The sequence below is a fragment of the Homo sapiens genome, chromosome 1 (genome assembly GCF_000001405.40).
Source record: "Homo sapiens chromosome 1, GRCh38.p14 Primary Assembly".
NCBI classification, from domain to species: Eukaryota; Metazoa; Chordata; class Mammalia; order Primates; family Hominidae; genus Homo; species Homo sapiens.
Genome location: NC_000001.11, coordinates 22,762,682 through 22,786,600, shown reverse-complemented (window position 1 = coordinate 22,786,600; position 23,919 = coordinate 22,762,682). Strand labels below are relative to the sequence as shown.

The 23,919-nt window shown below is 52.7% G+C and overlaps 1 protein-coding gene across 7 annotated transcripts in view; it reads right to left on the bottom strand.

Annotated features, from left to right (window-relative positions):
- Positions 1-23,919, bottom strand: part of EPHB2 (EPH receptor B2) — a 210,663-nt gene that overhangs the window by 134,900 nt on the left and 51,844 nt on the right. For 6 of the 7 annotated variants that reach the window (NM_004442.7, XM_006710442.5, XM_047449104.1 and 3 more), the window contains 2 exon segments: positions 1,525-2,209; positions 5,116-5,180. In NM_004442.7, coding sequence (NP_004433.2) covers positions 1,525-2,209; positions 5,116-5,180 — 750 coding nt within the window. 7 annotated transcript variants of the gene reach the window in all.

The following is a 23,919-nucleotide window of genomic DNA, read 5'->3' as shown; positions in this document are numbered from 1 at the left end:
TATCTTGAAAAGCTGCCTTGCTTGTCTCCGAGGGAGGAAGCACAGAGCTGGTAGATTTAACAAGCATTTTATCACGTAAGGATCACTGCAACCACCCCCAGGCTAAAGTATCCCTGGCCTTCTCCAAGGCCACTGGATTAGGGTCCAAACCTTTAACCTGGCATCTGAGGCACCCCAGGATCTGGCCCCAACCTCTGAATCCAATGGGGAATGCAAGAGGACATGACACAAGTAGCTTCAAGTCCCCTATACCCCCAGCACCACCATTGCAGCTCACAGGCTGAGCATCTGGGCTTTGTACACATCATCTCATTTAGTTAACATCTATTAAGCACTTCCTGTGTACTGGAAACCATTACAAGTACTTTGCATGCCTCAAGTTCCTGACTCCTCACACCAGCCTAGGAAGGAGGGTTTTACACTTGGCCAAGGTGATACCGCTAGTGAGTGGAAGGGGTGATTTAACCCAGGTCCTTCAACCTTCACAGCCTTCTTAGCACCAGGGTGTACCTCTCACAAACTTCTCGTGTTTGCAAAGCTTGTTTGCAGACCACCTTCATGGTTCTTTACCATATTCAAACACCACTTATACTTACTTAATAGTTTTCCTTAAGCTAACAGTGTGGCATGGTGGTTAAGAGGGTGGGCTTTGGAATCCCAGATCCTCTACTTAGTCCCTGTTTAAGCTCTCTGAGCCTCAGCTTCTTCATATACAACAGTACTTTCTGTCACAGGGTCCTTGTGAGGATTAAATGAATTAAGTCATAGAAGTGCTCAGCACATAGTACAAGGGGGAGTCGTGGGCCTGGCTCACAGTAAAATTGCACTTCTCCATCTCTTTGAATAGGAAGTAACCTTGTGACTTGCTTTGGCCCGTGAAATGTGCACAGAGGTTATGGCGGGGGCGCATTCCAGGTGGAAGCTTTAAAGCCAGTATTCCAACTGCCACACTCCTTCCATCTGTCTGCCCTGCAGATGGCAACATCCCGAATGGTGGTGCTCCATCCATTTGGCTCTCAGAGGGAGGAGTCCCAAGCTGATCCACAATGGACATGGAGCATTAAGGGGAGAAATAAACTTTTATTGTTTGGTCACTTCAGCATTGTCTGGTCTATACTGACAGAGTAAAAGCTCAAAATATGTTAACTTATTAATATATAAATGTTACTTACTATAACATACGTTTTCTTAAAAGGGGAACCATATCACCTTTGTAAAGGAAGAAATTGACACCACTTGACATACTCATATGATGATGTAAACAAAAAACCTTTATCCTGTGCCAACCCAGATTATCTGGTATACCACCTGCGGCATGTGCGCGGATCGTTTTCAGAAAGTGCTATATTCAAGTGCCTCCCTCTAAGAAGCTGAACGATGGTTGCTGGTTTGGAAACCCTGGCCCTAGAGTGCCTCATGGTCAGCTCTAAGCTTCAGAGGCCAGGCCCAAGTCTGCAGCCCGAGTCTGCAGCCAAGACCAGTTCTATGCATTTGCAGGGGCACGTGCCCCACCCTGGCCCTTACCTCGGCAGACGGTGCCATTCTCAACGGCCTCGAAGCCTGCTTTGCACATGCAGCGCCCGATGGGCACCAGCCACTCGCCGTCCCCGTTACAGTAGAGCTTGATGGGTACATCCACCTCTTCCGCATTGGCGATGCAGCTGCCCCGGGCAGCCACCAGCGATGTGCTCTCAGCCCCCGACAGGGTTTCCTGGAAGATGGCGCCATTCTGGATGATGCGGGGGCACTTGCGGTAGAAGACACGCACGGCGATGAGGGACATGCAGCCGCCATAGTCCTGGAAGGCCAGGTAGAAGCCGCTGCGGGACACAGGTCCGAAGCTCCGCACCTCGGTGTTGATTTTCATGACGCGGCCACCCAGGTCCACCTGGGAGAAGCTCTCGTCGGCTGCAATGGTATCCACCTTCACCCATGGATTCTCCATCCAGTTGGGGAAGGTCTTGGTGGCCGAGTCAAAGTCAGCCTCATAGTAATAGAGGTTGAAGGTCTCCTTGCAGGAGCCAGGCACGCTGGGGATGCTGCTGCAGTCACGCACCGAAAACTTCATCTCCACGTGGATGCGGTGGGCGCCACGGCGCCGGATAAACTTGGTCCGTAGCCAGTTGTTCTGGCTTGACTCAAACACGTTGCACACCTGGTACGTGCGGATCGTGTTCATGTTCTCATCGTAGCCACTCACCTCTTCCCACTGTGGGTAAAATGCTCGTCAGGTGGGGAGGTAAGGGCTCAGCCCCAGCACACACTCAGTCTAAGGTGGAAGACACAGACTCTGCCTTAGGGAACCCTCCAGTCTAATGGTGAAGACATCAGAGAATTCCCAATCTGATGGGGGAGACATGCCAATCAGGTGGGAAAGGCACACATCCTGCTCTTGGTATTCTGCTAGCTGACAGGGGAGACATTGCCCTTACTGTCAGGGGTACACTAATCTGATAAAGGAGACAGGGACCCTGGCCAGGAAGTTCCCACCTGGAAGGGGAAAATAGGGAGAACCCTTCCCCACTTAGGGAGCTCCTTCTGATGAAAGTAGACATAGCTTTGTGGTTGTGGGGGCTACCAGTCTGATGGAGGAGACAGGACCTCTGCCCTCGGGGAGCTCCCTGTCTGACCAGGGAGAGACAGCCCTTGCCCTTGGGAACTCTCGGTCTGATGGAGGAAGACAGTCCTCATCCTCAATGAACGCCTAGGATGATGGGGAAGACAGGGTCCTTCCCCATGAGAACAGCTCTGCTCTGGGGCTTTCAGCTGCTAACATTTCCTCTTGGGTACCTGGAGGGAGGCCGCCCACCCTTCCTGCCTGGGGAGAGTACTCCTGTACCCTCACTGGGGCAGTCTGGGCTCTCACAAACCCAGCAGAGAGATGCTAAGCCTCACCGCTGCAAGGGGCTGGGCCAGGTGGTGGAAAGTTGGGGCAGGAAGGGCCTAGGGCCCGGGTTATCTCCTCACACTCACGGACCAGGCTCCTTCCCACTGCTGAGTCTTTTGCACACTTCTGTGCCCTCCTGGGGCATCGTCTCTGGTCTCCTCTGCAGCAGGCTCTCTGGCTGCCTGCTGTTTGCATTCACCAACTTTCCCGAGGGCCTTCGGGAACAATCTCCCTGCGTGAGTGCCCAGTACACTCAGCCCTCTTGGGCCAGTGTCAGTGGGACTGAGAGCTTGCTGAGGGAAACCACCCCTCCTGTCCTTCTCCCGTGCCCCCTTTGGTGTTGGCTGGCTTCACCTGGGGTAGACCCAAAGGAGCCCCAACAGCAGAGTCCCCTCTCCTATCCATGTCTGGGGATGGGCACCCTAACAGGATCTCATTTCTTTGGTGTGATTATCGCACATGGTCTGTATGGTTAGACCCCTTTTACAGAGGATGAGGGAGTAGAGACTAGAAGTGAGGTCATTTGACCCAGGTCACACAGACCCAGAGCTGTTCGTGTGGTTGCCTGTGCTGCCTGGAAACACAAGGACACCAAGTGTGCCCTAGGAGTCCTGGGTTCTAGTCCCAGCTCTACTAACTTGATGAGTGGCCTTGGGCAAGTCATTTCTCCCTCCTGGGCCTCCAGTTGCCAAATGTGACTGTGGGGGTGGCAGCTGATGGAAGAGGTGTCACCCTCAAGTGGGTGTCCTTTATCCTGTGCCACTCAGATTCCCTGGGCCAAGTCTGTGCGTGTGGAGCAGGGGCTGGCAGCCTGGGGAGGGTCAGGTGCGATGAAGGGTGAGTACACATGGGGAGGGCAGGTCTGGAGCTGACTGGCTCAGCCTCTTCTTCAATGGCGACTCTGAAGCTCCCTACATTGCATTAATTTTTTTTTTTCTTTTTGGTGGCACCATGTGACAAAGTCAGCCCCTTGTTACAACCGCTGCTCTTCTTCAGAACTTAATTAGAACACTTAATTAGAGCACTCTGCCTTTCTCCCCTCTCTCTAATTAACATGCGGAGGCCCTGCAGCCTAAACACCCCAAATAATTGCGTCCGGGGGCCCTGCAGCCCAGCCTGGCCTCATTACTGGCAAGGTGGGGCTGTGGGCCCAGCCGCCTTCGCAGATGGAAAATTGGTGACAAGAAAGAGCCACAGAAAGCGGCCTGACCCTGGGGCCCTGCCTATTGAGAGCACAGGCCTGGGGGGTGGGGGGAATGCAGTTCCCTGGGGCAGCAGCTGAGTCCCAGCGGAGGAACTGGGGTGGGGGGAAGGGAAGGGCTGGGTTATAGAGTCCAGAGACGGCGGGGATGAGGGATGAATATTCAACTTCATGACAATGACAATGATGATGATGATTATAGCTACTCTTGACTGGGAGCCCAATCTATGCCAGGCATTGTGTTAGACACTTTGCAGGAAAACCTCGCAACAGTCTTGTGAGGTCTAAAACATCATCACCATTTTATAGATGAAGAAACTGAAGCTCAGAGAGATTAAGGAAGTGCCCCAAATCACACAGCTGGTGAGTGGCAGAGCTAAGACACATTTTCAGGAGTATTTGACCCCACAGTCTGTAACTTATGCCAGATTTTGCTCTTGGAGAGCTCACAGCATAGACCCTAGGATGATAAGAACCAAAGGAGGGGGAGCTTTGTGTTATGGGGACCCAGAAAGCGGGCAGAGAGCTCAGTCATAGTCCTGAATACAAACCTTAGCCCTTTCACTTATTATCTATAGGGCCCTGGGCAGGTGGCTACACCTTTCTGAGCCTCGGTTTTCTCATCTGTAAAATGGAGATAATTCCTCTCCATGGGATCAGAGATGATGTGTATAAAGGTACTTAATACAGTATCTGACATAGAATGGGTACTCAGGAAACGACAGTTCACTTTCTTCATCTGTAAAACGGGGGTAGTGAGAGCACCTACTTCTCAGCCTTGCCCTAAGGATTCCACGGGATAAAGGCTGAAAGCATCCAGCCTGTTGTCATGGTAACTGGCTCCATCAATGGTAGGGGATCATGGCTCCATCAATGGTAGGGGATTGGGAGGGTGGGGCTGAGAGAGGCCTGGCTCTGGGTCCTGAAGAGGGGGAAAGGGGTTAGAATATGAGGGGGCATTCGGGCCCTGCAGCAGGGCTTGAGGGATCCTGGGGACCAATGCAAGGTTTGGGGACCACTGACTCACCCCTGATGGAGGATGCACCATCCAGCCCAGCTCAGCAGTCGCTGTAGTGGAGTCCATTAGCGTTTCTGTGGGGAGAGCAAAGAGTCACCACCCCGCCCCACCTACCAGGCGCTGTCAATCTTTCTGTTGGGCCCTCATCCTTCTTCTTCTTTTTTTTTTTTTTTTTTAGACGGAGTCTGGCTCTGTCGCCCAGGCTGGAGTGCAGTGGTGTGATCTCGGCTCACTGCAAGCTCCGCCTCCCACGTTCAGGCCATTCTCCTGCCTCAGCCTCCCGAGTAGCTGGGACTACAGGCGCCTCCAACCACGCCCGGCTAATTTTTTGTATTTTTAGTAGAGACAGGGTTTCACCGTGTTAGCCAGGACGGTCTCGATCTCCTGACCTCGTGATCCGCCCGCCTCGCCCTCCCAAAGTGCTGGGAGTACAGGCGTGAGCCACCGTGCCCGGCCAGACCCTCACGGCCGGGCCCTCATCCTTCTTTACTGAGAGCCCCGCCTACTTCCATTGCCCCAGTCATCTGACTCTAACTCTCCAGACTGCCCTCGGTTTAGACTCCGCCTCTCTACTCCATTATCCCGCCTACCCCCACAGCCTAGCCAATCATCTGATGCCACTCCTCTAGGCCCCGCCCCTCCAGGCCAAGTCCACCCTTACATCATGGTCAGGCTCTACCTCTAGGCCAGTCTAGTCTCACTAACCTAGGTACTGTCCTTCCCTTCCTTTTCTGGACGAGGAGGGTCTTACATCCACTAAACCTGGAGTCTACTGGATGGGTTTCCGAGGCTCTGCCACTAAACCCTTGATATTTTACATCAAACTCTGGGATCTGTTTGCTTTTCAGCTTGCATCAAACTCTCAAAAACGAACTTGGGCCTTAGAGGGGCTGTGCTTGTGTCCCAGCTGAGACCCCTCAGTTTCCCCTCGTTGCTCCTCTGGCGCACACATCTTGTCAGGACACTCTCCCTTTCTCTAGAAACCTGGAGCCTTCCATCATGTTCCTATCACTGGGGCCCCTCCCCCAGGGCTCAGGCAACTCTGCCCCCAGGACAGGGTCCCAGGAGTGGAGAAGTGTTGAGAGCAAGCACTGCACCCAGTAGGGGCCAACTGTCACATGGCCTGTGGGGGTTCAGGAGACATGTCAGCACCTGGACCATCCTGGGCCCCACTTGCCTCCCCCGATTCCAGCAGCTGCAGGGAGCCATGTGGCCTAGGGGGAAGAAGAGCCACATGGCCCTAGAGACCCCCATTCTCCCCAGGTCAGGTTCAGGACCCCTGTCCTCTACCCTTTCCTTGCCTCTCTGGCTTCCAAACACTTTCTGAATGGAATTGCAATACACCGAATGAATTTAAATGGACCCCTTTCAAGCGTTCATTCAACAAAATATCCTGATGCCCATTATGTACCAGGCGCTGCACTGGGTGCCCTGAGAGAGAAAACCGTGGCTAGCAAGACCCTACCATGGAGCAGTTCCTGGTCTGGTAGTGGAGATGAGGTGTGAATATAAATAGCTATGAGAGAGTAGGGGGAGAGACCTAGAAGGTCACAGTGACACCACCTTGCTCAGTGAGAGTGGGTGAGAGGTATGCTTGTTGCCATGCTCCAATTCTGTGCCCAGGGCAGGCATCACTCATCAGTCCCCATACTGTGGCCACATGATGCTTCTTGCCACAGTGTTCCAGGAAACAAATACGAACCATTTGAGATGCTATCCCTGGTCCAGCCCAACCGCCTCCTTTTGGAGACAGGGCAACTGAAGCACAGGGATGGGAAGGGGCTTCCAAAGATTGCATAGGAGTTGGTGACACAGTGGGAAGTGCAGGTGTCTTGCCTCCTAGCCTATAAACTTTCAGTCACTTGAAACAATTAGTTTGATGGTCTGGGCTAAATGACAAGGACCAGGAGACTGGGGCTGTGTGCCCAGTGTCTAGGCAGCTGAGAAGGTCCAAATGGCAGATAATTAGGGTTTGAACTATGGCAGGGGTGGAGGGGATAAAGGGTGGGGACAGGAGGAAGCATTTGGTCAGAGGTGACCCCAGTCAGACCCATGAGCTGACAAGAGAGGATGCAGAAGTGTCCCCACAACTGCCTGTGGCTTGTGTCCCTGTGCACTGGCATCCCCATGACTGCCTGTGGTCACTGTGTCCCTTTGCACTGGGGGCTGGCACAGGGAGGGGGTGTGGGGTAAGGGTGCCAGGGATGGTAGAGCCAGTGCCAAGGGCATCTTTTTGATGGCAAATTGGAGGGAAGTTCTATTATGCAGCTTTGGAGCTGAAAAAAGGGTTCCTTTTCACACTCCGAATGCTACAGATTTTTCTTCCTGGAGAGAACAAGGGCTGAACTTTTAACCTGTTTTCTCTCATCGGCCTCAGCCAGAGACGCGCCAAGCCGGGCTCTCTGCCTGGGCCCAGGGAACAGCTGCTGGGAGCTGTGTCGAACAAGGCAGAGGAGAGACTGTGCTTGGGACAAGAAGAGGGTCGGGCAGGGGAGGCAAGGCTGCCAAGCAGGTGGCCCCATCCCTTGGCTAGATTCCTGGGCTGACCCAGAGGCCAAACACTAGAGGATTCCATGGCCCAGAGAAGGAGGGGCCAGGAACTGACATCCTCATCGTACGGGTGGAAACTTGGGCTCAAGGAGGGCAAATGGCTTGCCAAAGTCACACACTAAAAGTTGGTGCTCATACTCTGGGCTCCCAAGAAGCTTAGGGTGGGGGGCCCCACTGTCCCCCTGTGTCTTCTACCTCTCCTGGCCCAAAGCAGTGGCCCAAAGCAGTGGGAGGATCTCAGAAGGACTGGAAGTAAATGGGCTGGCTGGTTTGCAGACACAAAGGGAACGCAAAGGACATGAAGTTTGCAGATCCCCTTGGGAGGAGGTAGAGGGCCGGCATCTCCTCTGCTCCCTTCTCCTGTGCCACTCCTGGCTTTGCCTGGAGGCCTGGCTCTGGGAAACCTGTCACCCCTCTGGGTTGTGGCAGGAGGCAGCACAAGCATGCTCTCTCCCCAACCTGGTCTTTTGCTTTTCAATTTTAACCCCTCCCTCTACCTCTGCACAAAAGGCAAATGAGCAGATGAGCAGAGCAGACAGACCTGGGCTCTGGAGGTAACAGAGATCTGGATTCTAACACCAGTTCTGTCCCTTCCTTGCTTGGTAACCAATATCACTTGCCATAAAAGGAAGGAAAATAAACACAGACTATTACAAATGGACCTTTTGAGGGGGGGAGATCACTTGAGGTCAGGAGTTCGAGACAAGCCTGGCCAACATGGTCAAACCCCGTCTCTACTAAAAATACAAAAATTAGTCAGGCATGGTGATGCACACCTGTAATCCCAGCTACCCTGGAGGCTGAGGCATGAAAATTGCTTGAACCCAGGAGGCAGAGGTTGCAGTGAGCTGAGATTGCACCATTGCACGCCAGCCTGGGCGACAGAGCAAGACTATGTCTAAGAAGACAAAACAAAACAAAACAAACAAACAAACAAACGGACCTTTATTTGTTCTACCTCTTGTTAAGCCTCAGTTTCCTCACCTGGAAAATGGCCAAAATACCTTCCGAGTCTGGAAGTATAGCAGCTTGGAGCCCAGCACAAAGTAGATCCTCACTTAGTAATAGCTGCTGTTTTTAGATGGTGTGCAGTGCTTTTTGGCCCACCCAGTGCCTGCACATACTGCTTCCTCCTTTGGGCTTACTAGGTGCCCCTGAAAGCAAAGGCAGGCCCAAGAGGCTCCAACTTAGTCTGCCTGGCCTCCCCCACCTCCCAGATATGCCTGCCAACATCTGACAAGCATCAGTCTCTTGCTCCGTGGCTACAGCCTCCATGGAGCCCGTCCCAGTCCATCTGATGCTGCTTTCCCTGGGGTGCCCTGAGTTTCCTCTTTGTTCCTCTCAAACTAAGCACAAAAGTCAAATTCTGTTCTCTGGGGAATCTGGAGTTAATAGTTATTGCCTCAAGAACTTAGTGGGTTCAGGAAACCAAGCTCTGTTTCCACCACCATCACATCCTTTTTCCACCCTGTAACACACCAGACGTCTCCCGTCCAATCCCAAAAATCTACAAAGGGAGAGAACTCACGTCTGCTGAGACCCTATTAGGAGCCAGAATCTCTCACCAACATTCTCACAACAATGCCAAGAGGTACTTGATACTGTCCCATTTCATAGATGAGAAAGTTGAGGCTTCCAAAGCCCCAGGAACTTGCCCAAGATCACACATCTATTCCACCCTCAAGCTGCACTCCAGTTAGCTATGAGTAGGTGGAGAGACTGGCCGTCTCACTCCGCACAGACAATGTGGTGTTTTCTCACCCTTGTACCTCACACATACTGTTCCTTCTGACCTTCTCACCTCTACATCTTCTTGGCCTGCCCTAATGTTCATCTGTGAAGTCTCGACTCAGGTCACCTCCTCTAGCAAGTCCTCTTAAATCCATTCTGCCCCAAAGCTCTGCAGCCACGGGTGCTTCGAGATATCCCGGCACTTGAAGATATTCTGGGTGGTAACTACCCCTATTTGCTATCATCTCCCAAAGCTCTGTGGTCCCCTGAGAGGTGGTGCTGGGTCCTGGTCCTGGGATCCCTAAGACCTAGCACAGGGCTTGGCACACGGGCCTCCTCTCCCCATCTGCCAGACTTGAGCATACGCCAGTGTTCTGCTCCACTAGGGTTGGCCAGGCTTGAGCCTTTCATACAGACAACATTAATGACTTTAGCCATTTCCAACTACAACCTGTACAATTATTTAGTTACTACTTTTTCTTCCACTTGACTCCTTTTCTTTCTTAAATGCATCTTAAAGAGGAAAAAGCGTAATCATGATTATAAATGGAAAACCAATATCTCTTGCCATGACAGGAAGGAAAATAAACACAGACTACTACAATTAAAAATGTTTGTCTGCAAAGTACGGAACATCATTTCACTTCCCATACTTTGGGAGCTGCTGGGCTCCCTCGAGCTGCCTCTGAAGCTCTGGAAATGTTTCTATCTCCATCCCCACTGTGACGGTGACAATCTCTCCTGCAGGGGAAGCTGTTGTCACTGTACACAGATAATTAATCACCACACTATGTGGCTAAGATCACAATGAGGATGTACATGGTTTATTGCAGGTTACAGGAAATGAATACGGAAGGAGGGGAAGAAAATGCCAAATTTAGGGATGGCTTCCAGGAGAACGTGACGCCTGCATGGAGGCTTAAAGACTGGGTGAGTGGGGAGTGACTGATGTGGAGTGGGAGGGGCACGCTAGGCAGAGGGGAAGCAGAGGCAAAGGCCAGGAGGTGAGCTGAGCCACAGCGGGGTTTGTGGGAATCAAGCGCTGGCTGAAGGGTGGGGCTGGAAGTGGTGGGAGCTAAGAGCTGAGCCTGGAGGGGTTAAGCAGGGGCTGCCCAGGTAGCACAGGACAGGGCCATGAACGGTTAGCAGCTCTCTGAGGCCCCTCTGCTGGATCATCCCTGTCTCCCCACATCCTTGCCAGCCTCGCTGGTACCACCCACCTCCCACTCTGCCAACTTTGCCGTTTCACCTGCCCTTAGGCCCTCCCACCCTGTTGAAATGTCCGGTTCCCAGACCTTGGCTGCTCTTAGTGCCCATTTAAAAGAATCCCAATGGATAGATGAAGAAAGAGGCTACACAGATTCTTAGCATCCAGGCAAAAGCTGGAACTAGGGCCACCAGCCCAGAGCATCTTCCTCAGTGTGAAAACAGGGGCCCAGCCATGGGAGTGACTTTGGCCCTATCCCTACCGTACCCACACCCCCTCTCCTTCCTGGAGGCTGCACAGAAGAAAGCAATCAGGAGGCCCTGACTGCCGGGCTGGGGAGGCCCGATGGCCCCTCTGGCTATGTGTGAATGAGCAGTGTACATTTCAGAAATATTTGAACTTAAAGGGGAGACACACTGAAGTCGTTAGCGTTGGGCTGAAAGGAGGTGGCTGCAGGGGGCCTGCCTGCTCTCAGGCTGGAGCGGGTGGTTGCTCCCTATTCTCCGATCCACCCCTAGCCAGCTCTGTCTGATCCCCTTGTGGGCTGTAATTCTCTAGGACCACAGATGCTGTTTGTCTGCACTAATGACAGTATGTGAGTGTTCCAAAGTCATGAAGAAGAAACTTTCATTAAGCACCTATACATGCCAAGCGCTGGCCAGGGCCCTCTAAATGCCATTTCAGGCGCAACCTCCAGAAGTATATACTATTATTAACCCCATTTCACAGACGAGGAAACTGAGGCCAGACAGGAGAACCAACCTGCATAAGTGCACACAGGCAGGGCTAGGACTGGAACCCACATCCATCTATTTTCACAACTGTGTTATTTTTAAGATGCCATGGCCATAGCCTTAAAAAACAGACAACACAAAACAACAAAGTCATCAGGGCTTGTGTGTGTGCATTTATCTTCTCTCTCTGCATGGGCCTGTGTGAGAATAGCAAGGGGCAGGAGGAGGGCAGCAGGGGAGTGGGACATAGACTGCCCAGGCCAGAATCTTGGCTCTGGCACTCTAGTGTACAATTGCAGGAATGCCAGTTCTGCTCTCTGGGCCTCAGTTTCCACATCTGTAAAATGGGTCATTGTGAGAATTAAATGACACCATGTAGGTGAATCCTGTTCTTCTGATGTCTCCCAGGGCCCACATGTAGGGGAGGTCTGCATCCACCTTGTTCACCGCTGTACCCTCAACACTGAGAACTAGGCCTGGCACTAGCACATGCATCCAACCTCCACACAGCAGCTGGGTGATGTTCCTAAAGTCCATGTGTGATCGCCCTTCAGAGCTCCTGCTGCCTGAAGGATCAAGTCCTAGCTCTTAACAAGGTACTCGAGGCCCCTGCCAAGCAGGCCAGCTAATTACCTTCCAGCCACCGTCTTCCGTGTCTCTCGTATCCAGCCATCCAAAATTTCCTCCTGCTTGCAGAAGTCACTTTACCTCCCTGAACACTGGTGACTTGACCTTTCTAGATTTTTCTGCCTGGAACGCCTGGCCCTTCTTGCTTTGTTAGCCTGGCTAACTTCTCTTCCAAAACTGAGCTCAAAGCCTCCTTCTTCCTTCTTCCTGGCAGCTGTCCTGACTCCTCCTGCTCTGGCTGGGTTAAGTAACAAAGTCATGGTCATTCAATGAACATCTCCTCCACCCGATGTGTGCCAGGCCCTGAGCCAGGCACTGGAGACACAGAGGCAGATCAGCAGGCCCTTCCCTCAAAAAGCTCCCAGACTAGTGCCCGACGTGTGAACTTACTGCAGGGAGAGGCGGAGTGAGACGGCTGGTCCCGGCCAGGAGCCAGGAAACCCAGAGGAAGAAGGGAGTAGCTTTGAGCAGGAAATTTGGAAAGGCATCTCAGAGGAGGTGGCATGTGAGCTGGGAGGAGAGGGAAGGGCACGCCACATACAGGGCCCAGCAGAATCAAAGGCACAGAAGTGTAAGACATCGGGGAAGGCTGGGCAATCGTAAAACTGATGACTGGCTCTCAGTGGTGGGCTCTAGGCCAAGCGCTTAGCACTCATTATCCCATTTCATCGTTAACTATTTGTGAAGTAAGTACTTTAGGATCTCCCTTTACAGATGGAGAAATCAAAGTTTGGAGAGGTTGTTCAAGGTTTCCATGGCCAGGAAGCGATGGAGCCGGGTCTGCCTCGCACCAAAGCCCATGTCCTTAGCCACTGCGCCATGCTGGAGTGTCCGTCCCATGTAGTGGGAGCAAAATGCTTCACAGAAGGAGATGGTAGCACAGGACAGGGCGCCAGAATGTGGAGGGCCTCTCAAATGTGGGGCTAAGGAGGTTGGGTCTTCTCCCATAAGCAGCAGGGAGCTATGGAAGATTCTTGAAGAGGGTAGTGATGTGGTCTGCTCTGAGAACCGCTGGGTCACAGAGTGGTCTTGGCAGAGGAAATTAGGCTAGAATTGGGGGCCAGCTGGGGGAAGGGTTGAAGCTGAAGATGAACAGACACCTCATAGCTACACCCACGGGTCTTCGCCTACAGACTGACCAGTGGCCTGTAGCCTAGGCAGCAAATCAGCCTGGTGTGAGACCCATGCAGCAGATGCCAGCCCAGGCTCTTCCCAGCGGTTCCTGTTGCACCCTGTCTGGGGCTGGTGGGGCTGAGGTGGCCTGAAGCTAGGCCTGGCTGGGATCTCGTGGCCTGGTAAGATGCCATTCACAGCCTGGAGGCCTGACCCGGACTGTCCATGGTCACAGCACTCTTTTCATGGTCCAAGTTAGAAATTCCAGGAGAAGACAAGGACACTGACAAGCTTGGAAGAGTCACTTCTCCTCTCTGAGCCTCTGTTTCCTCATCTGTAAAATGGAGATGACAAAATCCTTGCTCTGTATACTTCACTGCGTTGTTTTGAGGATCAAAGGAGGCATTGGGAGCCAAAGGTTTTTACAGTATGCAAAGGCTGGACCATACAGAACCATAGGGAAAGGTGGTGGAGGCCACCTAGGGGCAGGCACTTCATCGATATTGTCTCATTTACATCCCAGAGCAAACTTATGGGGAAACCAAGGCTCAGAGAGATCAAGGACTTCCAAAAGGCCACAAGGCCAGTAAGGGGCAGGGTAAAATTTGATCCCTTTGGTCTGATCCCAGAAGCCACTAGACTATGCTGCCTCAGGAAAGGGAAGGAAGAATCACTGCTTTCATCTACCAGTGCTATCGTTGCCAGGCTCTGAGCTAAACCCTCTGCACGCCCTGTAAAGCCCATACCTTTATCCCACTGTACAGATGAGGAAACTGAGACTGCAGAGGCTCAGAGATCTGCCCCAAGTCCTATAGCCAGAAAGAAGCCAAGCTGAGATTTGAACCCAGGCCAGCCTGACTGAGTTTCCTGAGCCCTCTCCTCTATAAACATCATGAGAATGGGAGCCCAGGATGGCCTTGGGTTCACTGGCCCAAAGCAAGGCAAGAGGTGGAGATGCCAGAGAAGCCCCCGACTAGCTCCTAGAAGAATGCAGATTTTCTAAAGTGAAATCTACCAACTAGCAGCACGTTGTTTTTCTACCTCGGCCCCCTGCTCAGCCCTCAGTCTCGAGGAAAGAGAACCCAGCTAATGTAAAATCCTTCTGCCCGAGGACTCTCATAGCACACACCCCTTCTCGTCCTCCCACCACTCAGAGGCCCTTCTCTGCCTCGGTTGCCTGCTTGGAGCCTGCTCTTGTTTTCTCAGGCCTAGGCGGAGGAGTCCCTGTGACGCCAGCTCCTCTGCTCTGTCCCCTGCCTGCCTGCCGCTGGCCTGGGCATCCGCCAGCACTGGCCGCCCCGGCTGAAACCCAATCCTCCGGGCCAGCCTGGCTGCTCACTAACAGCGGGCCACATTGTGCAGCCAGGGCTTTGGGAGAGTTTGGATTCGCTACTTGGGGACCCACTTAACCTCGGCAAAGGACAGGATGATGGATGGGGGTCTGGGACGGGGTTGCTGGGGGTGGGGTGGGTGGTAAATGAACACCAGGGCTTGCTGGGGAAGGGAAAGAAGGGAGGCAGGGACGGGAACAGCCCTGGACACATTAAGTGCTCCTTTAGTTCCCATGACAACCCTGAGGGACGCCTGCTACTGGTCCCATTTTAGGTGACTTGACCAAGGCCACATAGTAAATCAGAAACTGAACCCAGGCCAGTCGCCCTCAAGCCTTCCCGACATACCAGGCTGCATCTCACAGCCAGCATTTGCCCAGTGATTCTTTAATTTTTAAAGCCTTTTTACTTAAATGAACCCACAGTTTTCACATCTATTCAGCAGGTAAAGAAGTATCATCATGGCAGCTGGCATTACTGGGCAGCTACCGTGTGCATGGAACAATGCCTGCCACGTTAATACTCATCTCCTGAGATCCTAATGGGACCCACTGAGGGAGGACCAATTGTCAGGGCCATTTTACAGAAGAGGGGAGGAAAGCTCAGAGAGGCAGTCACTTGCAAGACGTGGCAGAGCTGAGATACCCTCAGGCTGGCTAATGAAGGCAGGGGGCCTGGGAACCCCAGTTGCTTATAGCTGCACCCCTTCTGAGTGGTTCTAAGTTGTGTGCATCTCCCCTCTGCCCACTGGACACAGCCTCACTCCACAGTTGGCACTCGAGGTGCTGTTCCTTCTCCCTGCCATGTCCCTCGCCCTCCTGGCCTGCCTAGGACACTCAGACATGTTCATTAAGACCCATCTCAAATGTCTTCTCCTCTGAGAAGGCTTCCCTGATGACCCTGGTGCTGGGGCTCCCAGAGTCCTATATGTGTCTCCCATCATTATACTTGTCACCTTGTCCTGCAACTTTCTTTTACTCATCTGTCCCTCAACTGGACTCTAAGTGCCTTGTAGGCAGGGCCAAGTCTGGTTCACTGTGGTAGCCACCAGCCTCTCTATTAAAACCACCTTACTCCTGATCACCCAGGCCCACCCAGACCTTAAATGCTCTTTCCTGCTGACATCATCATTCTGGGTGTCTGAGCTGTTCCTCCAGGAAATGCAGTCGCTGGTATCAAGATGGCTCCACATAGTAGATAATCCAAAGTACTTACTGCGCTGAGCTGTCACACATATTATCTGTTTTGATGCTCACAATGCCCCATGCGATAATTGATTATTGTCCCCACTTACCCACCCACCCATCTATCCATCCACCTACCCACCCTGTCACCCCATCCATCTGTCCCACTCCACTCACCCAGTATTCTACCACCTGTTCATCCACTAGTATCTCACATATGTATCCATTCATATTCCTACTGAACCAACCTCCCTTCATCCCTTCCTTCCTGCAGATGGGGGAAATAACCTTCAGAGAGGTTAAGTAACCTGCCCAACATCACACAGCGAGTACACAGCAGATCCAGGAGCTGAACCAGGTACTCTTTTAATCACTTTGCTATGTGGCCTCTTAGCTGTCTCACTTTATTTCTAACTGTCCTGTTGCATGCAGGTTTAATCTTATAAGTCACCTCAAATCCCTCTGCATGTGAATGGAGTGTAAATTACAAATCAATAAGACACAGGCCACTGTAAGTCCAAGCTGGGGTCTCTTGGGTTGGAGTCAATTAGCAAGCCTGCTGCAGGACCTGCTGGGACTTGATGTATTTGCCTAATTGGCACTGGTTTCCCCCAGTGAAGGACAATTAACTCAAATCCCAGAACCCAGACCACCCCTCTGCTTCTGGGCAGGGTGTCAGGCATTTAGCTACATGAAATTTACTGTTTATTCATTCACCCATTGACCCATACGCCCACTCATCCATCTATCTTTCCAACCATCCAATCCTTGCAATCATCCATAAACTATCTTGACATCTGCTCACTCACCCACCTACCTATTTACCCATCCGCACACATCTATACGCTTATCCATCTGCCCGCCCGTGTACCCATCCATTCACTTACCCAACATTCCACCCACCCACACACTCACCTATCCATCCATCCATCTATTCGTCAAATCACCCAATCCAAGCAGCTATTTATGAAGTCATTCTGCCATCTTGCCTTCCACTCACCCATCTATCTATTCATCTACTCATTTTCTCATTTACCACATTCATCTGTCTATCCTTACACCACCAATTTATCCACTCACCCCTATGCCCAGCATCCCACTTCGGTTTTTTCCCTTCCTCTGAAGCAACCTCCCTCCCTACCTCTCTTCTTTCCATTCATTTATCCACTCGCCCATTCATTTACCTGTCCATCCATTCACATCACTCATTTATACATCTATACATCTGCTATCCACTCCTCCCATCCAGCCAGCCTGCATGTGTTGAACACCTACTATGTGTCAGGCCCATGCTGAGTACTGGAGAATCAGGCTCTACGTGGTGGCTCACGCCTGTAATCCCAGCACTTTGGGAGGCTGAGGTGGGTGAATCGCTGGAGCTCAGGAGTTCCAGACCACCCTGAACAACATGACAAAACCCTGTCCCTACTAAAAATACAAAAATTAGCTGGGTGTGGTGGTGCATGTCTGTAATCCCAGCTACTTGGGAGATTGAGGCACGAGAATCAACTTGAACCCAGGAGGCAGAGGTTGCAGTGAGCTGAGATCTCACCACTGCATTCCAGCCTAGGTGACAGAGTGAATGAGACTCTGTCTCAAAAAAGAAAAAGAAAAAAGTATTGGAGAATCAAAAATAGATACTATCACTGACTTAAAGAAATTTACTGATTTGGAGCAAACCCTAAGCCCTGTCTGGCTCCTGCCACTAGTTCCCAAGCACTTTCCAAGCTCCACATTCTACCTGTGGATTGGGCCCTTGCTGAGTCTGGAATCCTGGGCTCTGTTCTGTGGCCCTGGAACCTGGCTTCCCTTTGCATTCAGATAGCCTGCTTCACGAGGACCCCATCTGGCCTGTGAATCTGTTGTCCATATCACATTATGGATATGGACATGGCTGGGGCCCATCCCACCCCAAAGAGGGGCCAGTGAATGGTAACTTAAACCAGGTTCAGCCTCACCCCTACCACGGTCCCCTGTCCTACAGTCTGTAAGGGGGATCCCAGACATAAGGGGTCCCAGTCTATAAGGGGGATCCCACAGCAAAGGAGGAATCCTAACCCTGCCTGGAGGTTAGAGGAGACTTCCCAAGTGAGTGGCAACTGGCTTGAACCCCAAATTGAGTAGGAGACAGCAAGGCAAAAGGAGGAGGGAAAGAGGAAGCACCAGGAGAAGGGGAAAAGGTGTCTCGGGCAGAAAGAACAGCTTGTACAAAGGCCGGGAGGAGAGAATGATCAGGGCCCCTTCAAGAACCTGCAGGAGGGAGAAGGAAGGCCTAGGGGAAAGAGAACTCCAGACACCACAAAGAGTCTTCTTTTTTTTTTTTTAATGGAGACAGGATCTCTCTCTGTTACCTAGGCCAGAGTGCAGTGGCAGCATGACTCACTGCAGCCTCAACCTCCAGGGCTCAACTGATCCTCCCACCTCAGCCTCCTGAGAAGCTGGGACTACACGTGTGATCACCATGCCCTGCTTGCTTGCTTATTTATTTATTTAGTAGAGACTGGGGTCTAGCTATGTTCCCCATGCTGGTCTTGAACTCTTGGTCTCATGTGATCCTCCCACCTCGGCCTCCCAAAGTGCTGGGATTACAGGTGTGAGCCACTGTGCCTGGCCTCACAAAGAGTCTTGAATACCAGGTTGAAGGACTAAGACTTCATCCCTAAGACAGCAGAGGACCACAGAAGAAGTGGCCTGACAGCTGTTGCTGTGTTCTCTTGTGTAAAGGATCCATGTTACAGATGAGGAAACTGTAGGATCAGAAAGGTATGGAGGGCTTCTCCAGGCCACACAGCTGGTCAGGAGCAGAGAAGAGATTCCACTTTAGGTCTGATGGCTCCAAAGCCCTCGCTCTTTCTGAGAGAGGCTGCTGCCTCGGAGGAGACGTTTCCAGAATGCCTGCATCCCTCCCACAGTAACGCTTGGCTCCAGGACCGCCTCCGCAGCCCTCAGCAGTGTGGATGCAGTGACAGAACACCCCAGGGTGCCATCTCTGCTCAGTGTGACTCCCTGGGCTCTCTTGCCAACCACACCTGGCATCTCAGGCAGTTAAGCAGTCACGGCTCTGCTGGGACATTTTCTCGCATGTCGATGTTTCTCAGGAGAGCTGCTCAGTGATTTCCCATCACCATCTTCACCAGAGACTCCATGTCTTCATCATTAGTGACCATTGCTTTCCCACCATTTCCCACTGGTACCCTGAGAGGCAATGCCAGCTAAAGAGCCAGCTTCTGGAATGGGGGCTGGTGGGGCCCTTGACATGGAGCAGGGCTCGAAATCAAGAGAGCCTTCGAGGTGGAGAAGACACAGGGGGAAGAGGGGCACCCTGGGCCAGTGGTGGGAAGGAGGACATGGACCAGGAGGTGAGGGAATGCTACTTCCACCCCTAGCATCTCTATCACCATAGCTACCATTTACTGAGCACCTACGACCTGCCAGGCACTGTCCCATGCAACGGACACCCAGCATAGCACCTGAGCTCCTCTAAGCTTTCCAAAACCCTTCAAGGGATGGATCATTGTCCCCATTTTGCAGATAAGTAAACCAAGGCACAGAGAGAACAAGTAAGCAGGCAAGATCCCTGCAAGTTGGCTGCAAGTTGGTGAGGGAGGCAGGCTTTGATTTCTGGGCTGTGTGACCCAAACTCCTTTCATGATCCCAAGGAGCCTTTTGGGAGTTGAAAGTCTCAGGTGAGAGCTGATGCAGGTAGTGGCGTCGGGAAGGGCTCAGGTGGCAGCATGGAATCAGACCACCCCCCACTTCCCCAGCTTGAGTTAGATGCCCCTTCTCTGGGCTCCAATTCACCCTCCAGAGTGTGTCTGATGCCCTTTCCTAGTCTGGTTTTGGACTGGGCCTGAGGCCCTGCAATGCTGGGCTGCTAAGTGGAGGATGAAGGCCATTGGTGCCCAGTGTGACCTGGAGACAGCTTCCCTGAGGCACAAGGAGAGGCTATGTCAGATGGCCTTGTGCTAAGCCCACAAACATGGCAGACCCGGCCTTGTTCCTGAGCCAAACAGAAGCCTCCCAAGCTGCTGGCTGTGCCACTCCGCTGGTTCACATGAGAGCCGGAGGCCACAGGACCACAGGCCACAGCTGGGCCCAGTGCCCTGCCCAGTCAGTTCATCAGCTCCCCAGCCCCACACTGGGGTTCCTTCTCACCAGGAATTCTGTATTGGTGGTGATAGCAGCAGCCTGGGGCAGCCCAGTCAGACCTACTGATGCTGGGAGCAGGCTCAGAAATTTTTTCCTATAAAGGGCAAATTGGACCCGGAACCTCAAGCATCTCACCACGCTGGCTCGCATCCCACTGGGACAGGATGCTTCTCTGATGGGGTGTGTGGTGGGTGGTCCCCTCAGGCTGATGGGCTCCCAACTCCTTCCCTGCTAGCCCTCTCCTCCCCCCAACCACCATAGGACTGCAGCCTCAGTGACCTCATCTGGGAAATGGGAATAGTAAATAACACCTACTCATAGGTATGGACACAACGCCCTTTGCACAAGGCCTGGCACAGTCAGCCTAGCTCAGGGGAGGCTAGTACCACAATCATCATTGCCCCTCATTCCCCTAGAGGCCAACACGACTGAGAACAGCTCCCAAAGAAACCTCTGGAGTGGGGTGGGATGAGCGGGACGCTGCATTTGAACAGGGATAATAATCATAATCCTCATTTCCAGCTATTGAGTACCTACTAGGTGCTCAATGTACCAGGCACTGTGCTAGCCACTTTTCCTAGGTGATGCCATGTGGTCCCCATTTCACAGATGAGGAAACTGAGGTTCAGAGAGGGGCTGTGACTTGCCTGGGGTCACCAGGGAGGCAGTGGTAGTGCTGGGACTCTGAGTGCCATTTGAGGCTTCCTCCCGGCTGCCTCCCTTCAAAGCTCAGAGAGTCCCCTGTGCTGGGCCTGGGAGGGAGTGTTCACTTGGCCTTATTTAAACTTGCAATTATCTGTCCCATTTCCCACTGGCTACAGCTGAGCTCTCCGGGGAGGCGGGAAGACCCTGATGGAGGAGGATGCCACAAACAGGGAATGTCTAAGGAATCCTCCCTGAGCCTCCAACTGAAGGAGCAGGGAAGACACATGCTCCTGCAGGAGGCCCTCTTCCTGTACCTGGCTTCTGTCCCCTCTGCCCCCACCCCAGGGAGCAGAACTGGCCAGTGGCGGGTTCCCAGGGTGGGGAGGTTCCTTGTCAGTCCCACAAAGGTTGTGAAGGGGTCACATCATGAGCTGAGGCCTTAGGGATTGCTGGCATGCAGCAATCTCTGCACCCAATGCAGAGACGGAAAGACTGAGGCAGCCTGGGGGTTGGTCCAAGATCCCATGGTGAGGTAGCAATGTGTGGGGCCTAAGACTCAGAGTGACGGAAAGCTCGTGGAGAGGTGGAAAGACAGAACTGGGGAAGGGCCCCAGGGTTCCAGCAAAGGAGAATGCCGGTGCTCACGGGATGAACTCAATGTTTTTTTTTTTTTTTTTGCGACAGGGTCTCTCTCTGTCACCCAGGCCGGAGTGCAGTGGCGCCATCTTGGCTTACTGCAACCTCCGCCTCCAGGGTTCAAGTGATTCTCCTGCCTTAGCCTCCTGAGTAGCTGGGATTACAGGTGCCCGCCACCATGCCTGGCTAATTTTTGTATTTTTGGTACAGATGGGGTTTCGCCATGTTGGCCAGGCTGGTCTCGAACTCCTGACCTCAAGTGATCCTTCCGTCTCAGCCCCCTAAAGTGTTGGGATTACAGGTGTCAACCACTGCACCCGGCTAGACTCAGGGTTTTCTACACACTGGTGCTCCCTAAAGGCTTTGCAAGGAGCAGAGTGCAGTGGGGGTCCTATGCTACAGACAGCCTCAGAGTTCTGGGCCAAGGCTCCCTGTCAAACACTCAGTGGTGTGGCCAGAATTGGTTCCCAGAATGTCCGGCTCCTCACCCTCACCCAGATACAGAATTAGACTCAGACAGACACCCACTCTGCTCTCCCACAAGCAGCCCTCAGCACCCCTGCCTGTCCTCCAGCCTCTGCCCTCCTCCCATTTTAACACTCCCTCTCTGAGCGCCTCCCGTGCATCTGCCCCAACCGCAGCCCCTGCTTGGAGGAACCCAAACTGGCGAGGGTGAAACCCCATCAAGCAGTTCTTGTATCTGCCACTGGAGCGAGTCGCAGGGGAGCGGGAACCTGGCAGCAGAACCCAGGTGTTAGGTCCAAACACCAGGGAAATGGCCTAATGGCCTATCCAGCGGCACATCCCAGGGTCTGAGAGAGTGGCCTCAGCAGTCATTTAGATTTTTTTTTTTTTTGAGAGTTGCCCAGGCTGGAGTGCGGTGGTGCAATCTCGGCTTTCTGCAAACTCCGCCTCCCTGGTTCAAGAGATTCTCCTGCCTCAGCCTCCTGAACAGCTGGGATTATAGGTGCGAGCCACCACACCCAGGTAATTTTCGTATTTTTAGTAGAGACGGGGTTTCACCATGTTGGCCAGGCTGGTTTCGAACTCCTGGCCTCAAATGATCCGCCTGGCTCGGCCTCCCAAAGTGCTGGGATTACAGGCATGAGCCACCAAGCCCGGCAGAGTCATTTACATTTGAACCCCACTTCCTAACCCACTACCCCAGGGCAAGTCTTGAGCTTCCCTTTCTGAGCTGTGGGATAGGAACAAGATTAGTACCTGCCTCGCAGGTGGCTGTGACAAGATCATGCATGTTAAGTTCTTAGCCCAGAGCCTGGCTATAGTAAGTACTCAGTAAAATATTGACCGTGGTCATTATCACTCAAATTATAACACAAAGCAATCACTCAATAAGCGGATGTTATGATATTGTTATTATCAACATCAGCCAGCACCCTCGGGCCAGGCTGAGCAGACTTGCTTTCTCATCTATGGGAGACAGAATAATGTCCCCCAAGAGATGGCCACATTCCTAATCCCCAGTATCTGGGAATGTTGCCTTACGTAGCAACAGGGACTTTGCAAATGAGATGAGATTAGGAATCGTGAGATGTGGGGATTATCCTGGATTAGCCAAGTGGGTCTAATGTAATCATGAGTGTCCTCGTAAGAGGGGGTGGGAGGGTTGGCGTTAGAGAGATGTGATGTCAGAAGCCAGGTGGGAATGACACACTTTGGGGATGAAGGAGCCACAAGCTCTGGGATGCAGGTAGCCTCTAGAAGTCTCTAGAAAGGGCAAGGACATGGATCCTCCTCCTGAGCTTCTGGAGGTAGTGTGCCCTTCACCCCCCGCTGGCCATTTCAGCCCAGTGAAACCCATTTCAGAAGTCTAACCTCCAGGGCTGTAAAACAATAAATGCGTCTTGTTTTAAACCACGAAGACTTTGGTAATTAGTCATAGCAGCAACAAGAAACTAACAGACCATCCTCAGTCGAGAAAGTGGCCATCTCTCACACCCCGTGATGGCTGGATCCATGAACCCCACACACTCACTCCTTGCCGCTGAGAAACCACCCAGACCCTCTGCTGAAGGGCATTTGAAGTGGGGGGGAGGGCCTGGCCACTTTAGTTGACATCTATGGTTGAGGGGAGCCACCCCACCTCCACCGTGTGCCTGTCCAGGAGAGGCTTGGAGCTGAGGCAGGGCAGGTGCTGGTCCTGTGTGACTGGGCCCTGGTGGGCCCAGCAAGTTTCTGTCCTGGAGGGATGGGATTGCAGGTGGGGGTGGGCTGGTGCTCTCAGGGGCACCATGGATTTAGTGTTTTCCACCTACCAAACCCTGCCCAGGACTCGTCTTCCCAAAGCCCAATGAGACAGGAACTATTATCAGCCCCATTTTATAGATGAAGAAATTGAGGCCCAGAGAAGTGAAGCAACCTGCCCAAGGCCATCCCGCAGGATGTAGCCCAGGTTCTGCTCGCACAGGCCCAGACCCAGGCAGCTCAGGTCCTCCATGGATGTCCTGTCCACTCTCAGACCACTCAGATCCTGGCAGGGAACCCCTGCGTGGGCCTAGCTGTGTGGATCCAGGGCTGCTCTCTGCCCAGCACTCTCTGGGCCTCGAGGTAGGAATCGTGCCCCCTTGTCTGCCTCACTGAGGGTCTGCGTGGTGGCTGGTCATAGGCACTAGATGCTGCTGTAGAGAGCTGGACCCACGAGGGAGGAAGAGATGCTGGGAATCACTGGGCACCAGCACTCCTGGGTGAATGCTAGCCTTCCTTATGATGAGCCACTGCAGCCAGCGCAGAGTTCACCCAGGCCTGCTACGGTGTGGGGCCATCACACTCCCATTTCACAGAAAATCATGATAATGAGATGGATTACAATAGTGGCCATTGGTCAAGTCCCTGCCCATGCCAGGCACCAAGCTAAGTGCTTGCTGATGTCTCCTTTTGTCCTCTGA